Here is a 24,265-nt window from a genome sequence, read left to right as displayed (position 1 = left end):
TATCACTGTTAAGTTCCTGTTTACTGGTTTTATCAATTACTTAGAGGAGTGTTGACATTTCAAATATAATTGTGCATTTGTCCATTTTTCCTGTTAGTTTGTCAGTTTTTGCTTCATGAGTTTTAAAGCTCTATTGTTAAGTGCTAAAACATTTAAACTACTATATCTTTTTGGTTAATTGATCCCTTAATATTATGTAATGTCCCTCTTAATTCTTGGTAATTTTCTTTGGTCTGAAATTTACATCATCTGATATAAATAGTCACTTGAGGGTTTTTTTGTTTTGTTTTTGTTTTTTACTTTTTACTACTTTTTCCACAGTATATCTTTTTCATCCTTTTACTCTTAACCTGTGTATTATAGTTGAAGTGAGTTTCTTTCAGATAGCAAAGATGGGGTCTTTGAATTGTTAATCAGTTCTGAAGAACTCCTTTTATTTGGCGTGTTCAAACTATTTATATCTAATGAATTATTGAAATGTGAAAATTTGGGCCTAACATTTTATTATTTTTTTTGTTGATGTTGTTTTTACTGTTATCCTTTCTTCTGTTATCCTTTCCTGACTTCTATTTTTTTTGAATATTTTTTCAATATTAAATGATTTGTTTAATTATTTATTTATTTAAGAGACAAGGTCTTGCTCTGTCACCCAGGCTGGAGTACAGTGGTGTCATCATAGCTCACTGTAACCTCAAACTCCTGGGTTCAAGTGATTCTTCCACCTCAGCCTGCTGAGTAGTTGAGATTACCAGAACACAATACCATGCCTGGCTAATTTTTAAACTTTTTTTGTGGCAACAAGGTCTCATTATGTTACCCAGGCTGGTCTCAAACTCCTGGCCTCAAGTGATCCACCAGCCTCAGCTTCCCAAAATGCTGGGCTTACAGGCATGAGTGACCATGCCCAGTGTATTTATTGTGTTTTTAATTTCATCCTTCTGTGTATATTTTTAGTGGTTGCTTCCCATAGGTTTTACATTACATAATATTCACCCTTAAAAGTCTACTTAGAATCAGTATTTTACCATTTCAAATGGAATATTGAAAGCTTAATTAACAACATGAAAGTCCCTTTATCCCCCCCCATGTATTACTGTTGTTGTCTTATGTATTAAATCTACTATACATCATGGACTCCAACAGACAATGTTACAATTTTTGCTTTCAAATATCAAGGCTATTTAAAATATTCTGGGGTTGAGAGTAGTCTATTTTATTTATCCAGATATTTGTCATTTCTTTTACTTTCTGCATTCCTGATGTTCCAAGTTTCCTTTAAGTATCATTTCCCTTCTGTTAGAACTACTTCCTTTGGCAATTCTCTTAAAGCAGCAATTTTGGCTATGAATTCTCTTAGTTTTTCTTCATTTTATAATGTCCTTATTTTACCTTTATGTCTGAAAAATATTTTTTGAAAATATAGAATTCTACATTGACAATCCTTTCTTTCATGGATTCTGGATTTCATGGTTTGTCATGAGAAATCGGCTGTCATTGGAATCACTGTTTCCTTATAAATAACAGCTTGTTTTTTGGTGTCATTTTTAGTTCGTCTTTAGCTTTCAGCAGTTTGATTATGATGTCTCCAGCTGTGCATTTCTCTGTGTATTTCTTGTGTGGAGTTGCTCAGATTCTTAAATCTGATGGTTTAAATTTTTTTCCAAATGTGAGAAGTCTTCAGTCATATTTTTTTTTTCTTCTCCTGGAGCCCATGATAACTACTGTGCCTCAGGAACCAGTGAGTTTCTGAGGCTCTGTTGGTATTGTTTTCCCAATCTTTTTTCTCTTCATTTATCAGATTGGATAGTTTCTTCTGATTTGTCTTAAAGTTCACTGACTCTTTTCTCAGTCAGCTCCATGCCGCTATTCAGCTTATCCAGAGAGATTTTATTCCAATTATTTTATTCTTAATTCTAAAACTTCAATTTGCTTTTTCTTTCTATTTATTTACTAAGACTTTCTACCCTTCCATTCATTTGAAATATGCTTGCCCTTACTTGTTAGATCATCTTTATAATAAATGCTTTAGTCTAGCAAGATAGTTCCAAAATCTGTGCCATCTCAGAATTGGCATCTGTTGGGTGTCTTTTCCCATGCAAATTGAGATTTTCATGTTTTTATATGTAAAATAATTTTGAATTGTGTTCTAGACATTTTACCTATAACATTAGGAGACTTATTTAAATCTTATGAAGAATGTTAATTTTTTTAGCATAAAATCAACCTAGTTTGGTTCATGCTATAAGTTCCAAACTTACAAGGCTTCTGCGTGTCTTGGTTAAATTGTCAATTTTCAAGGCCTTTGCATTGCTATTGTAATAGCTCTGTTCTCAAAGAAATTTTAGAGTCATATCCACACATACAAAGCTTAAGGTTGAGCACAAGTTGGTAAACAGCTTTGAGGTCACTTTCCTAAGCCCTTCCCTCTCCATGCTCTTTTTCGCACCTTCCACTTCCATGCAGTTCTCATTTCCTGCTTTCAGAAAGTATGGAGTTAGTTACCTCTCTGCTGTGTTCTCATAATTGTGTCTGTTTCCACGTACAAGCAGACGGAATCAAGAGATGAGAAGCAATGGCGTCTACCCCATCCTCATGGGATTAAAGCTGTTCAGATCAGAGAGGAAGATTTATCCAAATTTTTATGGCTCATCTTCCTGCCACTGTTACTACCCCTGCTGCTGCTATCATGGGATTGTAGAAGATGGGAGATGGGGCAGAAGAGAATGTAGACATTAAAGGAAGGGCTTCTCCTACTTTCTCTGAGCATCAGGGCCCCTTCCTGGTCCTTAATCCAGAATGGGAGGGCTTCTCCTAGTGTTTTATCTCTACAGGCCCTAATGACAACTTACAAGTGTGGGCTGTGTTGAATCCAAGATGGAGAATACAAAAAGAGAGAAAAATTATAAACTCACTGCTGGTTTGGTGGCACTTCAAATTCATATCTTCTTCCCAATCAGCCTGTTACTTTTACTTTTAAAAATCCTCAAACAGGTGTTCCATTCTCTCAAGTTTTATAGGTGCATTCAATGGGAGAGAGAAGGGTGGAGTGTGTTTACTCCAGTTTACCTGAAACTAGACAGAGATAGTTACTTCTCTGCAAAAAATAAAAATAATAAACCAACACTAGCATCTTATAACTCAAAGAAAACTACCTAGGGAATTATATTTTTTTTCTATGATGCAAATCAAACATTTCCATTATCTCAGCATTCTTTAGAGTTATTTCCACTGTCCAACTACTTAGAGGACAGGATTGGGAAGGACCTGGAAAATGCAGAGACAACTTTGGTATATCACTAGATTATTTACATATTAAAGTCCCAAAGCACTGCAATATTTGACAAAAGGATTTTCTTCTGTATGGGCTTATACAGTTTCTATATTTTGTCATGTAATAATTGATAATATTCTATACACCATAGTAGAACTAACCTACTAGACATCTGCTTTAAAATAATATAAATTGTATTAATATTATTAGCATACTAATGATTAAACAAAAAGGAAAAAAACAGATTTGCCAATTTTCCCCAATACTGTTGCTTAAAAAAATGCTAAGAAAAATTTCTACTGAGTTCAAAATAGAGTTTTCTGATCAAACCAACATCATTAAAATTTGATGGCAGACCTTTTTTCCCTTCACATCCAGATTTGGAAGAAAATACTAAGGCTTCTCTATGTTTAAGAGATATGTATCAATACATTTATTCTCGTAAGCTATGATAGAAAAAGATAAAATGTTGGCTCAGTATAAAAGGGAGACAAATAGGAAACTTTTTAGGTTATCTGGGCAACAATAATGAAAGGCTAGGAAAAAGGAAAACATTTAAAGAATATATAAATAGGATCATTTTAGGCACCACTCTATTTCTAGCATCTAGCACCTAACACAAACTTGGGCACAGAATAGGGGTTTCAAAATATTGGAGGAAATTGAATAAATGATAAGAAAGAGAAGTGAAAAGAAGATCATCTGAAATGCAAGAACCAATAAAAATTGAGGAAAATGGATACAGTAGCACATTTCATATTATCTTCAAAGTATATTTCCAGGCCTCTCAGATATGAGAATTTAGTACAAGATGAAGGTTATTACTCTCTGTGTATCGAATATATCTGAGACCCAGACCATCATAATGTGCCAATAGCCAATGCTTTGTGGCCATCTGGATTAAATGAAAACAAAGTTAAGAGAAATGGTATAGAATCAGCTTCTAATACATGTAGCAAATGCTCATAGGTTTATTCCTATTAAGTCTAATTATAATTATTGGGAGATTAAATAATGAAAAATCTAAATTATAGAAATAATTGTGATGGTTAATATCTCTGAAGTAAGTAATTTTAAATTTATTATTAAAAATTCTGATTAGTGTGTTTAATATCTTAAACATGTTCATCAACAATAGAGTGACCATAGGGCTACTTTGCCTAGGGCATCCCAACTTCTGCTTTTGTCTAAGCATAATTATGTCTCTTAACTTTTAAAAGTTCCTTGGTATGAACTACAAAATATATGTTTACCTTATATATAAATAAACCTCACAGGCCTTTTTATTTCAAAGCTAATGTCATGCCCAGGCCCAATCTGACTCCATTGGATTTTCTTAGCTTCTCTGCTGGAGGCCCAGAGACTTGCATTTCCTCTATTCCAAGCTGGCACCATCCAAATTACCTCCTTGAAGGACCAATTTTCCCGACCCCTTTCCTTTCTGTACCACAGTCAAGTGTTTAGAGCCATATCACCTTAATATGCTTTTGTTCATCACTGATGGGACAAGGGAAATGAATATTAAATATGGAGAAATTGGAATGATTACAGAATTGTATTAAGTCCTTCCAAAATCCTCGTAAAATCCTTTTGCTGTTTTACTGTCTCATCGGATATGATAAATGAAAATCTCTTCCAATTTCTCCCCTTAACTTTTATTTCTTAACAAACATTTTCTTCCTTCTTATTCTGTCCTCACCAAGGATCATGTATATACTTGCATCCAAGGTGGACTTGTTTTCTTCCCATATAAAAGCCCCCAATTAATATGAAATAATATGCATCCTTTAGTCAGAATGAGCTAGTTTTCTATTGCTTCGTAGCAAATTACCACTAATGTAACAGCTTAAAGTAACAGCCATTTATTATTCCACATTACTATAGGTCAGAAGTCTGGGTGGGCGTGACTGGGTTCTCTGCTTAAGGTCTCACAAGGCCAAAGTCAATATATCATTCAGGCTGTGCTCTTGTTTAAAGGTTTTGGAAAGTATCAGCTTACAAACTCATGCAGGTTTTTGCTACAATTCAGTGCCTTGCTTCTGCTTTAAGAGTTTCACCTGGAACGCTGTCTCTACTAAAAATACAAAAAATTAGCTGGGCATGGTGGCACATGCCTGTAATGCCAGCTAAGGGGGAGGCTGAGGCAGGCGAATCGCTTGAACCCAGGAGGCGGAGGTTCCAGTGAGCCGAGATTGCGCCACTGCACTCCAGCCTCGGTGACAAAGAGATACTACGTGTCAAAAAAAAAAAGTTTCACCTGGTTAGATCTCCATGTCTTAAAGTAAACTGAAAAACTTTAATTACCTCTGCAAAATTCCTTCACAGCAGTACTTAGATTAGCATTTGATTGAATAGCTAGAGGTCAGAAATCTTGGGATTGCCATATTTAGAATTCTGTCTACCACACTGAATATATTCTATTTGCATATCTGAAGCTTCCTGTGTTAATCACTGAGCAGTGCATTATAACAGCATATCTCTCACAAATGTGAAGACCTCTAAATATTCAAAAATTTTTCAAAAAATATTTTTTATAAAAGTTTACCCATTGAAGGTGGGCACAGGCTTCTAATATGCTTGCTAATTTCTTCTGCAAAAGTATATGTCCCACTAGACTGAGTGGGCAAAAATCTGATTGTCAACCTTGAATCCATCATAGAGCTTGATATTGGACTTTGAATATATAAATCCCCAATGAATGCATTGGAACTCCCTTGAATACTTAATTACACTACCAATTCAATTAGAAACTAAGATTTATGTAGACAAAAGTTAACCTATTCTTCGCCTAGTCCAAAGGCTTAAAAATATGTAATATATTAAACTAATAAGGCTTTTCAGTACAAACAATATAATTCTATCATAAAAGGTATTGAAGTAAAAAGATGACCTCAATAATTGCTTTAAGTATTTTAAGTCCCTGAAATTCTCTATGGTTGAGGTGCTATAATGCAAAAAAAAAAATGCCAAATTGCTGTTTAATAAAAATTAAGCTATTTTAAAATGAGCTTAACCTCTTCTCACCTGGCAAAAATGATTACTTCTGCTGAAATGTGGTATGAAGAATGTACTGATGTTTGGAAAGGGAAGGGTCTGGAGATTCTCACAGTACAGTGTTGACATAAAGGGCTATTTAAATATGTTTTAGTGTATGGATATGCTTCTTTTTGGCAGTTGCTTCCTGGGTGGTCTGTATACCTATTTGACAATATGTCAAGTACATAAAATCAGAATATTCAGAAGCATAGAGAAGAATAACCTGGATCATTCCAACCTGCTCAAAGACAGAAAAAAAAAAGTTAGGATGTTGAAGCAACTAAGTTTCCATAGAATGCCTGGAGAGTCAGAGCATCATAGAGCTGGGAACTTGGTGGTAAAGGATACACAGCCTCTCTCATCAACAAGTATTAGAGGAATATTCACAGCAGGAAACTTATTCAATCAGCATTTATCTTTGCCAGCTTTAAGTATTTACCAATTTTCTATATGTTAAAGTCCTTAAAAAGTCTCATGAAACACGTGTACACACACACACACGCACACACACACGTAAACACTGACTATCCCCATTGATTATCAATCATTCTCAGCTTATGGCAGAATTGCTCAAAGAGGGTTATGCAGAAACCTGGGATTCCATAAGACCCTTTCAGTGGGTCTTCTAAGACCTTTTCAAGAGGTATATACAAAGTTAAAACTGTGTTGACATTTGTAGTGATGGTGCCAAAGTAATGGTAGGTAAAATTGCCTAGTCAAGACAGTGGCACCAACTTCACTGTCAGTCATTTTATTCACTGCCGCTTACTCCCAGGAGGGGTACCATGACAATTTCACTTCAAAATTTCCAGATGTAGCAGTAACATTTATTCATTTTATCAAATCTCAACACTTGAGTATATACATTTAAAAAATATTTTTGTGTAACAAAAAGGAAGTATGGATAAAGCATTTCTGTTGCAGGCTAAAATATGATGTCTCAGTTAAAAGTACTGTGAGATTGTTTGAGTTATGAGCTGAGCCAGCTGTGCTTTTCATGAAGCATCATTTTTTCACTGAAATAATAAGTGACAAACAGTATTCAGACTTGGAAATCTGAGCAATACTTGCCTAAAAATGAACAAAGTGAACTTGTCACTCTATAAAAACCAACTGATGGTATTATGACTATTTTTCTTGCCAAGAATAAAATTCAAGTTTTCAAGTGAAAAATTAGAATATTGGAAAACTTTCATCTGTCACCATGAGCTTGACAGCTTCTCAAAACTTAAATACTTTTCTGATAATATAGATGGTGATATTAACAGATAGATTAGATAGATAGATAGATAGATAGATAGATAGATAGATAGATAGATAGTAGGGTGAAATGTGTCAACATTTAGAAGATCTGCCTGACTCAGTGAACTAATATATTCCAATCAATAGATAATTGATACTAAAAAGTCATGCAGGGTTAAAAGATCCATTTAAAGTGTAAGATATACCAATAGATATTAATATAATAGAGTGTGAAAGTTCATCCTATGCTTTCAGGTTCTACATTGTCCCATTCCACAAACTTTTAAAACACTACGACATGCGTTTTAGAAAACGCACAATAATCTGAAAATAGTCCTCCATTTTTCTTTTTTTTTTTTTTTTGAGACGGAGTCTCGCTCTGTCACCCAGGCCAGACTGCGGACTGCAGTGGCGCAATCTCGGCTCACTGCAAGCTCCGCTTCCCGGGTTCACGCCATTCTCCTGCCTCAGCCTCCCGAGTAGCTGGGACTACAGGCGCCCGCCACCGCGCCCGGCTAATTTTTTGTATTTTTAGTAGAGACGGGGTTTCACCTTGTTAGCCAGGAATTAGTCCTCCATTTTTCAACTTCATTCTGGGTAAGGCCACATTTTCCTCATACAGGTCAACCGTAATAACATACAGAAACATCTTACATGCAGAAGTAGATATGAAATTCAGCTGTCTTCTAGAACCCAAACAAAGAAACTCTCAAAAATATAAAACAAAGCCATGGCTTCTCACTATTTTTATTGTTCTAGATAATATAGCTAATTTTTGTAAAAATTATGAATGCATGTCCTTTATGCTAACATTTGATGTTTTATTAATTTTAAATAAATCAAAATGTTTTTAGAATTTATCTATTTTAATTTCTAATACAGCAATAATTGATAAATGTAACCTACATAAAAATCTATTTGGGATCTTAAATAATTCAAGAATGTAAAGGAGTACAAAGACCAAAAAGTTTAATAATTACTACCTTGAGGCATACAGACAATCTGAACATCTCTAAAACAGTTTCTAAAACTATTTTTTTAAAAAAACTTGCGGTGACATCTTAACTATAAAACCAATTATCCAAGTTAGTGTCACAACACATGTGAATGTTGAGCAAACTGAATTGTGTGACTAAATGTTGCTGCAAGATGTATAAACATATGTATGTATAAAAATACATACATAAAGTACAGTAGTACTTAAAAAGTTTTCCTTGAAATTCTACTTCCAGCAGTGAGAAAATTCTGGTTGCGAATCACCTGAACATATAAATGACGGAGTAAAAATAACAAAAATCATCTTAAATGCATAGCTGAGTTCACTCTTAAGGGAAATCCTTCCATGGGCTGAAGGAAAAGCAGGGAAGAGTTCTGAGCTGGCACTGATGTGCTGGTTGCCTATAGGCATTTGCCAATCTCAGATCCAAAATGTTCAGCCTTAGCCATCGCACTGGGACAAAGATAATGCCTGTTCAAGGTGAGGTCTCAGAACTGAAACTTCTAATTAAAGTGAGTGGGAGAAGATACCATCTTTCCCCACCCTCCCACACAAATAACTAAACTCAATGAAATGATAAGAAAAACAACCTGCTCCCTAAAAAAAAGTTATAGCATGAAAACTTGTCTACTTTAACCTAGACTCTGTTTTTGTTTTGTTTTTGTAGAACAAATGGCATTAAAATAAGTTAGACTGATAGCTAAATCCTCAAGAGCAACAATGGATGCCAAAGGACAGGTCAACTAAATCTTCAAAATGTGCTGAAAAAACAAAAATACCAAATAGGTATCCAGAATCCTGGGATTTTATACTCACTTAAAATATCTTTCAAGAATTGAAGTAAAATTAAGACATTTTCATACCAAATAAAACTTAAGTGTGTGTCCCCAGTAGACTTTTACTAAGGGAAATTCTAATAAATATTGCTTCAATAGGAGGAAAGTAAGATTAGGATAGAGAACTGGTTTGTAAGAAAGAATGAAGAACTAATAAAAACTAATAAAATAATAAATATGTGAATAAATCTAATTGAGCACTGACTGTAGAAAAACATAACATCTTGTGTGTTTTAAAAATCAAATAAGTTGTTTTAAAAAATGGTAACAGCCTACAATAAGGACAGGGGATGTAGAATGTTTTAAGAGCTTTATATTCCTGAGAGAAAAGAAAAGATAAACTTTGGACTTGGATATATGTTTGCATTTCTATCATAAACATGTCTTTAATGCATATAGGATTCTCTAAGGTGTATGTGTAAGAATGTAATTAATGACGTCAAGTTGTACAAATGCCAGTTTTACTAAATACCGCCCAAAGTTCTCCAAAATGATTACACCAATTTAAATTCACTCCTGAAGCACATTGTTTCCATAGATTCACATACTTGCCATCACTTTATAATGTAAGATTTTAATTTCATCAATCCCACTGGTAGAAATCTGCTTGTGATCTGAATGTTCATTTCCTTTACTACTAATGAAGTTGGGCATCTTACCATTTTATTTTTTTTTAATTCACCCTTGATGTATTATCTTCCAAAAATGGTCTTTGGAGTCTTTTGCCCTATTTGGCATGTCTACTTCCTTGTTTGTTTCTTACTTACTGATTTAGAAAAGTTGTTTTTATACTCTGGGTTCTAATACTTTGTTGGTTACATGTATTGGAAATACTATTAATATACATCAATAATTCTAAGATTCACCTCATTTCACATTGTAATGTCTTCAATAATATCTGAGAATTAAAATTAGTCATTGTCTTATTTATTTAGTGATACATAAAGTAATGGTATGTCTTGAAATCAATGAAAATTGAAGATACTTTAAAATCCATGAAATATGGTATCCTCTCCCTGACAGAAGCTTGCTTTTGTTCACTTTCATTACTATGTCTTTTAATATGCATACATTTTAAATATTAATATAGCTTCTTTATGATTAACATTTCTGTGTACTCTCTAAGAAATCTGTCTGTCTCTACATCAAAAATAGACTCCTGTTTTTGCAAATTTAAACCATATGAATTAATCTCAAATTTTTTTCATGTGAATAACCAACTTAACATAATGTATTGAACTATGCCTTACCCAGTGATCTGCAGTATACATCAATTTCCAAATACAGGCAACTGCATTTTCATATTTACTGTGTACTATATCTTGGTATCTGATAGCGCAGGTTTCCTTCCTTCCCATATTCTTTCTTCAACAGTACCTTGGCAATTTTCAGACCTATGTTCCTCTATACATCTAGAATCATCCTATCTAGTTCCTTCAAAACTCTCGTTAGAATTTTAATGGAATGCATTGTATTAATAGATCAGTTTGAGGGAAATGAACATTTGTATCATACTTAGTCTTTCAGACCATGAGTAGAGTGTATCTCTTCATCAAGGTCTTCTTTAATGAATTGTAATATAGTCTATAATATTGTCCATATGTCTTACATATTTGTCATTAGATATATTTCAATATATTTCATATTTTACATAAAATAAACAAGTTTTAATTTCTTACTGCCTATTACCAAAATAAAATGCAATTGGTTATTGCATATTGATTTGATATCTAACCACCAATTAAACTCTCCTACTATTTCTCATAATTTAATTCTATAATCTGTTTTTTCTTTATGTAGATAATACAATTATCTAGTTTATTGTAATGCCTAAAATTTTCAGTGCATTGTCGAATAGAAGTGGTGGTAGCAGAATTGTTTCCTTGTTTCTGATTCTAAAAGGAATGCTTTTAATGCTCCACTGTTTAAAAGGAAAGATATTTACAAGTTGTTTTGTAAGTGACTTCTACTGGTTAATAAAGTTCCTACTTTGCCAAGAGTTTTTATCATGAATGTGTTTTGAATCGTATGAAAGGCATTTTCTTTATCCAAACAAGATGATCATATGGTTTTTATCTTTAATTGGAATATATAGTTACATTTTAAAATGTTCTAATGTTAAACTACTCTTGCATTTCTGGAATAAACCTGCAATAAAATAACCGTACTTGGTTATTTAAAAAAAAAAAGCATTGTAAGATAATATCTGCTAATATTTGGTTTTGACTTTCTTAATTTCTTTCCTAATAAAGAAGGGCTTATCATTTTTCTATTTTACTCTGTCCTCTTAGGATTTAGTAAGACATTTATACAGTTTTAATCCCTCCATTTTCTATTTTCTAAAATAGTTTGTATAACATTGAAATAATCCATCTTTGGAACATAGAAATCAACTACAAAAATCATCAGAGCCTAGTATTTTTGTAGGTAGATTTTATTTTATTTTTATTTTATTATAAGTTTTTGTGAGACAGGGCCTCACTCTGTTGCCAAGGCTGGAGTGCAGTGCCACCATCTCGGCTCACTGCAACCTCTGCCTTTGGGTTCAAGCGATCATCCTGCCTCAGCCTCCCAAGTAGCTGGGATTACAGGTGCGTGTCACCATGCCCAGCTAATTTGTTTGTATTTTTAGTAGGGATAGAGATTCACCATGTTGTCCAGGCTTGTTTCGAACTCCTGGCCTGAAGCAATCTGCCTGCCTCAGCCTCCCAAAGAGCTGGGATTACAGGCAGGAGCCACTGTGCTTGGCCATGGGTAGCTTTTAAAGAATTGATTCAATTTATTTAATTGTTAAAAGAAGAGATAGGCTTCTTTTTGGCTAATCTCTCAGCTAGAAATAGTTAACTATAATTAATCATGTTTGTTAACAGAACCTGAGTTTGTTACTCCTTATATATATATTTATATATCATGGTACCAATTACTACTTTTTATCTAATCTCAAGCTCTTTACCAGTTCTCAAAACTAACCACAGAAACAGAATTGTTGATACCACAGTTTAAAGATTTGAAATCACCACGTTTCTTTATTCTTTCTCTAAATGATGGAGGCAACATTAACTTAGAAAGTGTTCTGGTTTTCCATGGCTGCTTGTAATATTGCAAATTCAGTGGCTTAAGGTATCCAAATTTATTTTCTTGCAGTTTTCTAGGTTAGAAGTTTGACACAGACCTCACTGGCTAAAATCAAGTGTTGAAAAGGCTGTTTGTGTTCACTTATGTCGGCTCTAGGGAAGATTCTATTTCCTTGTTTTTGCATGTTCTAGAAGCTGCTCACATTTCTTCACTAGTAACCCCCTCATTCTTCAAACCATCCATAATGAGTTGAATTCTTTTCATATTGTATCTCTGTCTTTCTTTAGTAATCATGTCTCTCTCTGACTCAGAACTTTTCTGCCTCACTCTCCCACTTTTAAGAACTCTTGTGACAACACTGGGCCTACCATGATAATACAGGATAATCTCCCTATTTCAAGGTCAGTTGATTGGCAGCCTTAATTCCATCCACTACCTTAATTCTTTGTTGCTTTGTAACCTAACATATTCATAAATTCCAGGGATTAGGGCAAATACACTCTTGAGGACCATTATTCTGCCTACCACAAAAATTAAGGCAACTTCATAATCAATAGCAGCAAAGAGATAGTTGCCACTTGCACAATGAAATATACTTTATTTCCCTTGAAATTTAAGTATACCACTATAGTTCATTCAATCTAAGATTTTAAAAACTTTGAATTAAATTCTGACAACCCTGGTAAGCCATTCATTGTGAAATGAATCCTAATTTCAGGGATTTAAAAGGAAAATGCACATATGTTTTTAAATTGATATTTTTATGGGTTAAAACATATAATAGCATGTATTTTCTTCCATGATCTACATACCTACCTACTGACCTACCAAACCATCTACATAACTATATCAACAGGAAAAAGTGTGTAATTGAGAAGGTGGTAAAAATTATTTTTACTTTTTATCCCCCATGTAGCTTTTCAAATATAAGCTTAGTAAATAACTATAATTTATCAACGGAAGCACTTGCTTAATAATATTCTGTAACATTAACATAGCCTAACTCATTTAAAATGCACAAACCTTTTGACTCAGCGAATGAGCACAATATTCTATTGTTTTAAAGTTGAAATATTGGTAAATAAAATTATTTCTAAGTTTGTGTTTGTCATTTCCAATTTAATTCTATATCTTCATCTGAAGACAGTGTTCTCACATTCAGTTTTCTAGTTGTATTTTTATCTATTGTATAAAAATACAATGTTATAAAAGAAAGGTGACAGTACAGTCAGAAGATCTGAGGTAGAGTCTAGCACTATCATTTACTATCAGTGATTCTGGGAAAATCTGTAACCTCTCCATGGGGAATAACAGGATGTGATAGAAACTGGTGTAGATAAAATGCCAGTTAACTAGCTGCTTTGCGACTGTCACAGTTTCACAGCATTCTGTGAGATAGAAGATGTAGCCTCTATTTTAAAGGTGAGGAATCCAAGCTTTCGAGATATTAGTGTGCCTAAATTCACATAGTCAATAAGTAGCATAGCCCTGATTTAAATCTAGACATCTGACTTCAAAATCTATGATCCTTTTGTTTTTCAGGGCTTTCTTCATCTGTAAAATAATAATGATAACAAAACTAGGGAGTTCAGATTTTGAGGGAATTAAATGAGATAATGTCCATGAAAATACTGTTTGAATTACAGTGCAAAGCATAAATCTTACCATTGCTTTGAAAATACAAGCATTCCTCTCCATTTATAACTCACATTAATAATATAAATTCAAATCCTGTAAGTGCTGTTCTTTCCTCTTACTATACCTAGGAGAATAGGGAGAAGCATCTTAAAGTTATCATTCAACCCTATATGATCCAAACTAATAAATACTAAATCCACTTCTTCCCTTTCTCTTTCCTCTTTCCATATTTTCATTACAGAAAAAAAAAGTAAAATGGCTGACTTCACATCGGTTATAGATAAAAGAGAAAAGAAGTAAACAATGACTTAAAAGCATCTGTCAAAAAATATATCCCTTTGGATTACATGAGGAGATTTTAAAATGTGTACGAATAAACATTTTATTGATATTAACCCTAAATCACTTTGGCTTTGTTTTACTAGAGAGTGATAGCTGTTAAGATGATTGATAAGCTATATATATGCTCATTTAATTTTTTAACAAGTCACAGAGCAGTTTACCAGCATTTTCTCTTAATAACAATAGAGAGGTTATTAATATTGCGCCATATTTTTCTTGCCCTGTAAATGAAAATATGAACATCAGGGAATATTTTTATGCCTTAGGCTACAAGTAACGTAAAAGTCTTAAACTGGCTTAGTAATAAGGATATACTGACTCACATATTCAGAAACCCAAACATTAGACTGGGCTCCAGGGTTGGAGGATTCAACAATATCATCCAGGAGAAAGAAACCTTCCATCTCTTCATTCTGCAGTATATGATGTCAGATTCATCCTAAGGATGGTTTCCTTCCTGATTATAGTGATCAGGGTTGCATTCTTCCTTCTTTATATCCAGTGGAGGCATATATGATCAAGCTCTAACCATCAAAAATTCTACCTTTTTCAGCTTGTTGAGGCAAATATAGGGAATAGATCATATGTCTCAACTAGGGCAATGGCATGTGCTGACTGGCTTAGGCCTAGGGTCCTGAAACAATCCCCATGAGAGGCCTAGACTAATCATAACCCAACCCCATAGGGTTACCCTTTCCTAACATAGCATTGCAGCTACACAGTGGTAGATGCATGGATGATGAGGTGGCAACCACAATGTATATGTCTCACAAATATCTTTATAAATCTTATAAATATACAGTTATCCCTTTGTATCCATGGGGGATTGGTTCCAAAATCCATAGATGCTCAATTCCTTTTTATATGATGGAGTGGTATTTGATTATAACCTATGCACATCCTCTCCTATACTTCGAATCATCTCTAGATTACCTTTAATACCTAATATAATACCTAGCACTTACAAGATAAGTGCTATGTAAATAGTGGTTATACTATATTACTTTTAATTTGCATTTTTTGTTATCGCTGCATTTTTACTTCTTATTTTTATTTAGACAAAATATTTTTGAACCACAAGTGGTTGAATCCATGGAGATGGAGTCCATAATACAGAAGGCTGACTGTATATGACTCCAGACATAGGCATAGGTAGTGTGACAAGAAGGTTTTTGTGGGGTTTGGGTGAAACAGATTAATTTGACTTGGTTGTTATAAGTTTTCATTTTACCTCTCTTGAAGAAATATTTCAGATTTTTACTCTGTCAAGACTGCATAGGGAAAGATCCCATCTATATTTGGGCTAAAGGAAAAAAATCTGCCATAAGATACGGAAGGGAGAACTAGGCTTTAGTGATGTCAGAGGTGCTGATGACAACCTAAGGAATCAGCAAAACAGAGAGAATTCAGGAAGGGCACTGGACTTTTCACACCCTATGCTGTAATATTTAAAACTGATTTATTTGAAGATCTTAATGAACAGGACAAACAGAGCCAAAGATTCAATAAATTGCTTTCCTGCCAAATCTTACATACTCTGATTATCAGAACACACTGAGGTACTCAATTATTCAAATGTGTTTTAAATTAGAAAATAAGATTTACATATACTATATCACAAATATACACACAATTTTGAATTAGCAGATTTAGCAAGATGTGAAGTTCTGTTGTCATCAAAACAGAAATTGGTTCTTCTTATTAGTAGCTGCTTACAGGCTATAAAGAGTCAGTTCGTGTGTATAGCTATGGAAGATGGCGCCTGAGTTGCTGATTTCTCACATGTGCTCAAGCAAGGCAAGATGTTGAGCTGTCCCTATCAAACAAGGCTTTTGGGGGCAACATTGCTGCTTACATGAAAGAAAAGGTTATTATTTTGAGACAAGCTTTACTGGTAATCAAAAGCTTCCATGGTTAGGGTAACAAAAACCAGATATAAAGTTTTAAATTCTGGAGATTCAGACAGGAAAAGAAGAAAACTGGGGGAAGCAGGCAAGAGAGTCAACAGTAGGAAGATGGTCCCTACATCAATTCCGCTTTTCCTTAGGTGCCCAGCTCTTTTCATGCCGACAATTCCTTCTGAACCAAATATTCCCTTGATTCCATCATCATCCACTTTACATTATTATAACTACTTTCCATCATAAGTTTTATGAATAATACATGTCAAAAATCCTTACATTATCTAAGATTTTAAACATATGAGGAGGTTGATGAAAAATTAGGTTAATGGAACTAGTTAGAATTATCTTTTAAAATACTAATATCCCTATGTTCTGTTTCTACACCCTTTTATTTATTATTCACTTTATAAAAAAACAAATGACACAACAAAATGGTCAAGTTAAAATACTGCTCATCCTGTAGAAATGAACCCTACATGATATGCCAAAATTAGATTACAATTCTTAAATGAACCTTACCAATAATATATTGTTACACACAGCTATGTAACTTAAAATTAAATATATATATTTATATATAAAGACTGGGGTATCTTTGGATAGATACATTTATATTTATATAGATACATTTTAAAACATGAACATATATGTGACCATTTTCTCAAAATTAGAAGAACAGTGGTTTCATGAATTCTGTTGGCTATCTGGTTCTGTTTTAGGCACTTTAGATATCTAATACAAATGGTGAAAAATTTGCCACTTCATGTAAGAAGAATCATACTGAATCTAGCAGTTTATTTCGACACAGTCTGCGAAGGTCTTTAAGCATACATAACTCAAAAAATAATCTGTTATCCTGCAAATTAGTCAAACATAATGTCATTAATATATTTTGTCTTTGGTTATTAATAATAATAAAATTTTATTGAACCCATGTGTGTATCTCTGAGAAAATAACAAAAAAGGACTAATTATAGCCTTAAAGCATCACTTAAAGATTGTCTCCAATATATATAGTTGATACATGTCTTTTACACTGAAGTGCTGACAAATGATTAAACATATAGGTAGAAAATATGTATGTCTGACATTTTGAAGTTATTCCTTTATAACCAGAACACAAATAATTTCCTATACTTAAACAAGTGATATGTTCAAGTTCTCCAGAACTCCAAAAGTGTGAGAATTTTCACACTTACCAACAGTATCACATGGTTCATCTTTGTGCACACAGAAATCTTTCCTAGAAAGAAAAATAGAAAACTGAAATAAAGATAAATTATTTTGTACAAACAAGACATCAAGTGACTCATTTTTAATAGTTATATGATTAATTGAAGCACATCTGTCATCTCCAAGAATCTAATAAAACTGTGAATAAGATTAATTTTTAATTCTAAGATATGGAAGATTAATTAAATTTTATAGCACATGATATAATTAATCCTCAGACATTAGACAGTTCCCATATGATGGACAATATTTCAAAAGTAAGATCCCATCTTGTTTTGAATTTTACAGTATTCTATTGTTTTATTACAAAAAAATCTGGTATTGGGACAAGGCTTTCCATTTGAAAAATTACTGGAAGATACCTACTTTATGTAACACAAAAATTATTTCCAGATCAAAGATTTAAATGTAAGAAATACAACTTAAAACAACATAATATTTTCTATCATAAGACTGGCAAAATTTTTAAAAGACTGATAATCATTTTATTAATGGTATAAGGAAATTATTATTTTACATAAATGGGATCTATGTATAATATTTTATAATTTTTACTCTTTATCTGAAATTATATCTTAGCATTCCTAAGAATGCTTCACTGTTGTTATCAATTATTCAGGATTTCATAGAGCAAAATTTAATAGACCTTAATAAGAGCTATGAGATTTGGGGGCAGAATATATGAAAGCAAAACTTTTAATCTACCTCTTACTAGCTATGTGATCTTAGGCAAATTATTTAACCTTGTTCCTCTGTCACCTCATCATAAAGATAGAGGTAGTAATAATATCTACCACCTAGGTTTATTGTTCAATTTAAATGATTTAACATGTATAAAACCTTAAAAACTTAGGTTACTGTGCAAGGGACATGAATTAACACATATAAGGTATTGAAAACAGCGCCACACACAAAGTAAGCTCTAAAAAGTTAGTTGTGATGTTTTGGTTGGGGATTTTTTTTATTGCTGCTATTAGTGTATCATAACATAAGCAACTTCTTAGCAATAAGCTTTTAGGTTCTATACAATTTTTACTATCACAAACAATATTACAATAGGCTTTTTGTGTGTACATAAATGAGAAATGTAAAATTATCCTTTTAAAAAAATTTCCTCTCTGTTACAGGATCTGAAAGCTGTATCTAAATGATAAAAAAAAGACTTAAAATTAAGCACAATACTTTTGCCTATTCACCAATGAAGTCACATTGATCTTTATAATGGTTAGCTTTCAATTCACATCTTGCTTGGCTCATCAGCAGCATTTGTGAGTTAATACATACATATATCTATATATGTATACATATGTATATATAGATATATGTATAGATGTATCTGTATATGTATATATATACAGATATGTATAGATACATGTATATGTATATCTAGATACATACATATACAGATACATGTATATGTATATCTAGATACATACATATACAGATACATGTATATGTATATCTAGATACATACATATACAGATACATGTATATGTATATCTAGATACATACATATACAGATACATGTATATGTATATCTAGATACATACATATACAGATACATGTATATGTATATCTAGATACATACATATACAGATACATGTATATGTATATCTAGATACATACATATACAGATACATGTATATGTATATCTAGATACATACATATACAGATACATGTATATGTATATCTAGATACATACATATACAGATACATGTATATGTATATCTAGATACATACATATACAGATACATGTATATGTATATCTAGATACATACATATACAGATACATGTATATGTATATCTAGATACATACATATACAGATACATGTATATGTATATCTAGATATACATATACATGTATATGTATATCTAGATACATATACAGATACATGTATATGTATATCTAGATACATACATATACAGATACATGTATATGTATATATAGATACATATATACATATACGGATACATGTATATGTATATATAGATACATATATACATATACGGATACATGTATATGTATATATAGATACATATATACATATACGGATACATGTATATGTATATATAGATATATGTATGTGTGTGTGTGTTGGTAAATGTTCCTTGCATATTAGAAATGTATATTTAATTTTTTGGAGTGCAGTTCCATATATGCTCATTACATTTAGCTCTTAAAAGCTCTGATATACAATTGTTAAGTAGAATAATCAATACTGGATTGATTTTTACATTGTACTGACAAAAGACTGTTAAAATTCCATTGTGCTTATAATTTTTTGATGTTTCCCTGTGATTCTAATTTTTGATTTGTTTATCTCAAAGTTTATTGTTTATTAAGTACTCGGTCTCTAAGTTTGTTTATTTTGAACTATTATTTTTATTATTGTGTAAAATCTATATGTTTACTTTGCTAAGGTGGATTGTGTCTGATACTAACAAATATTAATATACAGTACTGCACTAATATTTGCTTGTCCTATCTCTTTCATTTTGTTTTCAACATCCATTTTCTCTGAGTCTCTTATAAAGAACACATAGTGAAATTTTTAAAAGCTAGTTATATAATATCTTTTAAATGCATTTAATCCTTTTCTATTATTGATATGTTTGGATTTCTATTATTTATGATTTCTATTTACCAAGTTATATTTCTTTTTTTATTTTATTTATTTATTTATTTATTTTATTATTATTATACTTTAAGTTTTAGGGTACATGTGCACAATGTGCAGGTTTGTTACATATGTATACATGTGCCATGTTGCTGTGCTGCACCCATTAACTCGTCATTTAGCATTAGGTATATCTCCTAATGCTATCCCTCCCCCCTCCCCCCACCCCACAACAGTACTCGGAGTGTGATGCTCCCCTTCCTGTGTCCATGTGTTCTCATTGTTCAATTCCCATCTATGAGTGAGAACATGTGCTGTTTGGTTTTTTGTCCTTGCGATAGTTTGCTGAGAATGATGGTTTCCAGTTTCATCCATGTCCCTATAAAGGACATGAACTCAACATTTTTTATGGCTGCATAGTATTCTATGGTGTATATGTGCCACATTTTCTTAATCCAGTCTATCGTTGTTGGACATTTGGGTTGGTTCCAAGTCTTTGCTATTGTAAATAGTGCTGCAATGAACATACGTGTGCATGTGTCTTTATAGCAGCATGATTTATAATCTTTTGGGTATATACCCAGTAATGGGATGGCTGGGTCAAATGGTATTTCTAGTTCTAGATCCCTGAGGAATCGCCACACTGACTTCCACAATGTTTGAACTAGTTTACAGTCCCAACAACAGTGTAAAAGTGTTCCTATTTCTCCACATCCTCTCCAGCACCTGTTGTTTCCTGACTTTTTAATGATTGCCATTCTAACTGGTGTCAGATGGTATCTCATTGTGGTTTTGATTTGCATTTGTCTGATGGCCAGTGATGATGAGCATTTTTCATGTGTTTTTTGGCTGCATAAATGTCTTCTTTTGAGAAGTGTCTGTTCATATCCTTCACCCACTTTTTGATGGGGTTGTTTGTTTTTTTTTTTGTAAATTTGTTTGAATTCATTGTAGATTCTGGATATTAGCCCTTTGTCAGATGAGTAGGTTGTGAAAATTTTCTCCCATTTTGTAGGTTGCCTGTTCACTCTGATGGTAGTTTCTTTTGCTGTGCAGAAGCTCTTTAGTTTAATTAGATCCCATTTGTCAATTTTGGCTTTTGTTGCCATTGCTTTTGGTGTTTTAGACATGAAGTCTTTGCCCATGCCTATGTCCTGAATGGTATTGCCTAGGTTTTCTTCTAGGTTTTTTATGGTTTTAGTTCTAACGTTTAAGTCTTTAATCCATCTTGAATTAATTTTTGTATAAGGTGTAAGGAAGGGATCCAGTTTCAGCTTTCTACATATGGCTAGCCAGTTTTCCCAGCACCATTTATTAAATAGGAAATCCTTTCCCCATTGCTTGTTTTTGTCAGGTTTGTCAAAGATCAGATAGTTGTAGATATGTGGCATTATTTCTGAGGGCTCTGTTCTGTTCCATTGATCTGTATGTCTGTTTTGGTAGCAGTACCATGCTGTTTTGGTTTCTGTAGCCTTGTAGTGTAGTTTGAAGTCAGGTAGTGTGATGCCTCCAGCTTTGTTCTTTTGGCTTAGGATTGGCTTGGCAATGCGGGCTCTTTTTTGGTTCCATATGAACTTTAAAGTAGTTTTTTCCAATTCTGTGAAGAAAGTCATTGGTAGCTTGATGGGGATGGCATTGAATCTATTTATAGATTCAATGCCAAGTTATATTTCTTTGTTCTTCTTTTTCTCTTTCTTCCTTTTATTTTTCACTCACTTTTTTTGGCTACTTTGAAAGTAACATTAAATTGTGGTTGATGTATGATTCCTTTTACTTTCTAAAGTATGATATATTTGTTCTCTATTGCTGCTGTAAAAATTCCATAAATATGGTGACTTAAAACAACACAAAACTTTAACTTACAGTCTGAAGGCCCGAATTTTGAAATGGGCTTTACTGCACTAAAATCAATGTGTCAGCAGTATCATGTTCCCTCTGAAAGCTCTAGATGAGAATATGTTTCCTTGCCTTCACTAGCTTCCAGAGGCTACCCAGGTTTCTTGACTGAGGGCCTCCTTCTATTTTCAAGGTCAATGATTGCATCACTCTGCCCCCTGCTTCCATCCTCATATGACCCTCTCTGACTTTCCACTCTCTCTCTTTTCCTCACACCAGGATAATCTCGCCCCCTCAAGATCCTTAATACAATCACATCTGCACAGTCATTTCTTCCATATGGGATAACATATTTTCAGGTTCTGGAAATTAGAGCATAAACATCTTTGCAGGGGATGTTACTTTTCCTGCCTACCACATATCCTTAGAATGTCTAAAGCTCTTCCTCCTGAAAAAGGCAAGAATATAACATTCTTTTAATCCAATCTCTCCCTTCAATTTTTCATGTGTTTTTAATCTGAAATTATGGTTCCATCTTGATTTTTCAAATCTAAAATTAGACGGTTTCTTTTAAAAACCATCAGGGCTTATGTAGCAATTTGCCTATTTATTTAGCAATTTATTTTCTCAGTTATAATTTACTTTCTAGACATCTCACTATTCTTTTTCTTTAAGTACATTCTTCAGCATCTCTTCCAATGAGGATCTATCTATGAATGGTAAACTTTGCTTGTTTTTTCTTTTGCTTTCATTTTTATTATTTTGCATGTATTCATAACTGAATAGTAACTGAGTTGTTATAAAGTCAACTTTATTGACTCTCAACACACTGAAGATACCATTTCATTTTATTCCAGCATTCATAAATATTGATTAGAAGTCTCTGATTACAGTTTTTGCCTTTTTTTCATGCATTTGCTTTCTGCTTACTTTTTTAACACTCTTTCCGTCTTTATAATTCTACAGTCCCACGAAGATGGGTCAAGGTACTGATTTTGTTTTTATTTATCTTCTCTTTTTTTTAATTTTTTTTATTATACTTTAAGTTTTAGGGTACATGTGCACATTGTGCAGGTTAGTTACATATGTATACATGTGCCATGCTGGTGCGCTGCACCCACAAACTCGTCATCTAGCATTAGGTATATCTCCCAATGCTATCCCTCCCGCCTGCCCCCACCCCACCACAGTCCCCAGAGTGTGATATTCCCCTTCCTGTGTCCATGTGATCTCATTGTTCAATTCCCACCTGTGAGTGAGAATATGCGGTGTTTGGTTTTTTGTTCTTGCGATAGTTTACTGAGAATGATGATTTCCAATTTCATCCATGTCCCTACAAAGGACATGAACTCATCCTTTTTTATGGCTGCATAGTATTCCATGGTGTATATGTGCCACATTCTCTTAATCCAGTCTATCATTGTTGGACATTTGGGTTGGTTCCAAGTCTTTGCTATTGTGAATAGTGCCGCAATAAACATACGTGTGCATGTGTCTTTATAGCAGCATGATTTATAGTCCTTTGGGTATATACCCAGTAATGGGATGGCTGGGTCAGATGGTATTTCTAGTTCTAGATCCCTGAGGAATCGCCACACTGACTTCCACAATGGTTGAACTAGTTTACAGTCCCACCAACAGTGTAAAAGTGTTCTTATTTCTCCACATCCTCTCCAGCACCTGTTGTTGCCTGACTTTTTAATGATTGCCATTCTAACTGGTGTGAGATGGTATCTCATTGTGGTTTTGATTTGCATTTCTCTGATGGCCAGTGATGATGAGCATTTTTTCATGTGTTTTTTGGCTGCATAAATGTCTTCTTTTGAGAAGTGTCTGTTCATGTTTTTATTTATCTTCTTTGGTACTTGGTATATTTTCAACTTAAAGATCCATGAACCCTTAAAAATTCTTACCATTATCTATTTAGTTAATCCCTCCGACATTCCATTCTCTTCTCCTAGAACTTCTTTAGGAATATGATAATTCTTCTCATTCTGATGTCTGTAGTGCTCAGGCACCTTTGTGTATTTGCATCTCTTAACCACTCTATGTAGCCTGCTGGGAGAATCCCTCAGATCTATCATCCAATCCACTAATGCTCTCTTCAGATGGATCTAATCTGCTCTTCAATTTAGAAATTGAAATTTTAAGTATACATACCATATTCCATATTTCTTCCTGAGAACATTTATTTTCATCAGTTTTCAAATCAACTGTTTTCCCCCAAAACATCTTAT

General features: G+C 33.2%; 1 protein-coding gene across 12 annotated transcripts in view; it reads right to left on the bottom strand.

The window, feature by feature from the left end:
- The window catches only part of ADAMTS19 (ADAM metallopeptidase with thrombospondin type 1 motif 19), a 278,386-nt gene that overhangs the window by 169,236 nt on the left and 84,885 nt on the right, over window positions 1–24,265 (bottom strand). For 11 of the 12 annotated variants that reach the window (XR_007058587.1, XM_047416876.1, XM_047416878.1 and 8 more), the window contains one exon: window positions 17,541–17,584. Coding sequence is in view for 11 of the 12 variants with exons in the window: in XM_047416876.1 (XP_047272832.1) it covers window positions 17,541–17,584 (44 nt within the window). In the remaining variant the exon portion in view is untranslated. Of the gene's footprint in view, window positions 1–2,912; window positions 7,932–17,540; window positions 17,585–24,265 lie in introns of those variants that run through there. The other variant, XM_011543249.3, reaches the window with a different exon arrangement.

The sequence above is a fragment of the Homo sapiens genome, chromosome 5 (genome assembly GCF_000001405.40).
Source record: "Homo sapiens chromosome 5, GRCh38.p14 Primary Assembly".
NCBI lineage: Eukaryota > Metazoa > Chordata > Mammalia > Primates > Hominidae > Homo > Homo sapiens.
This window is presented reverse-complemented; position numbering and strand designations above follow the sequence as displayed.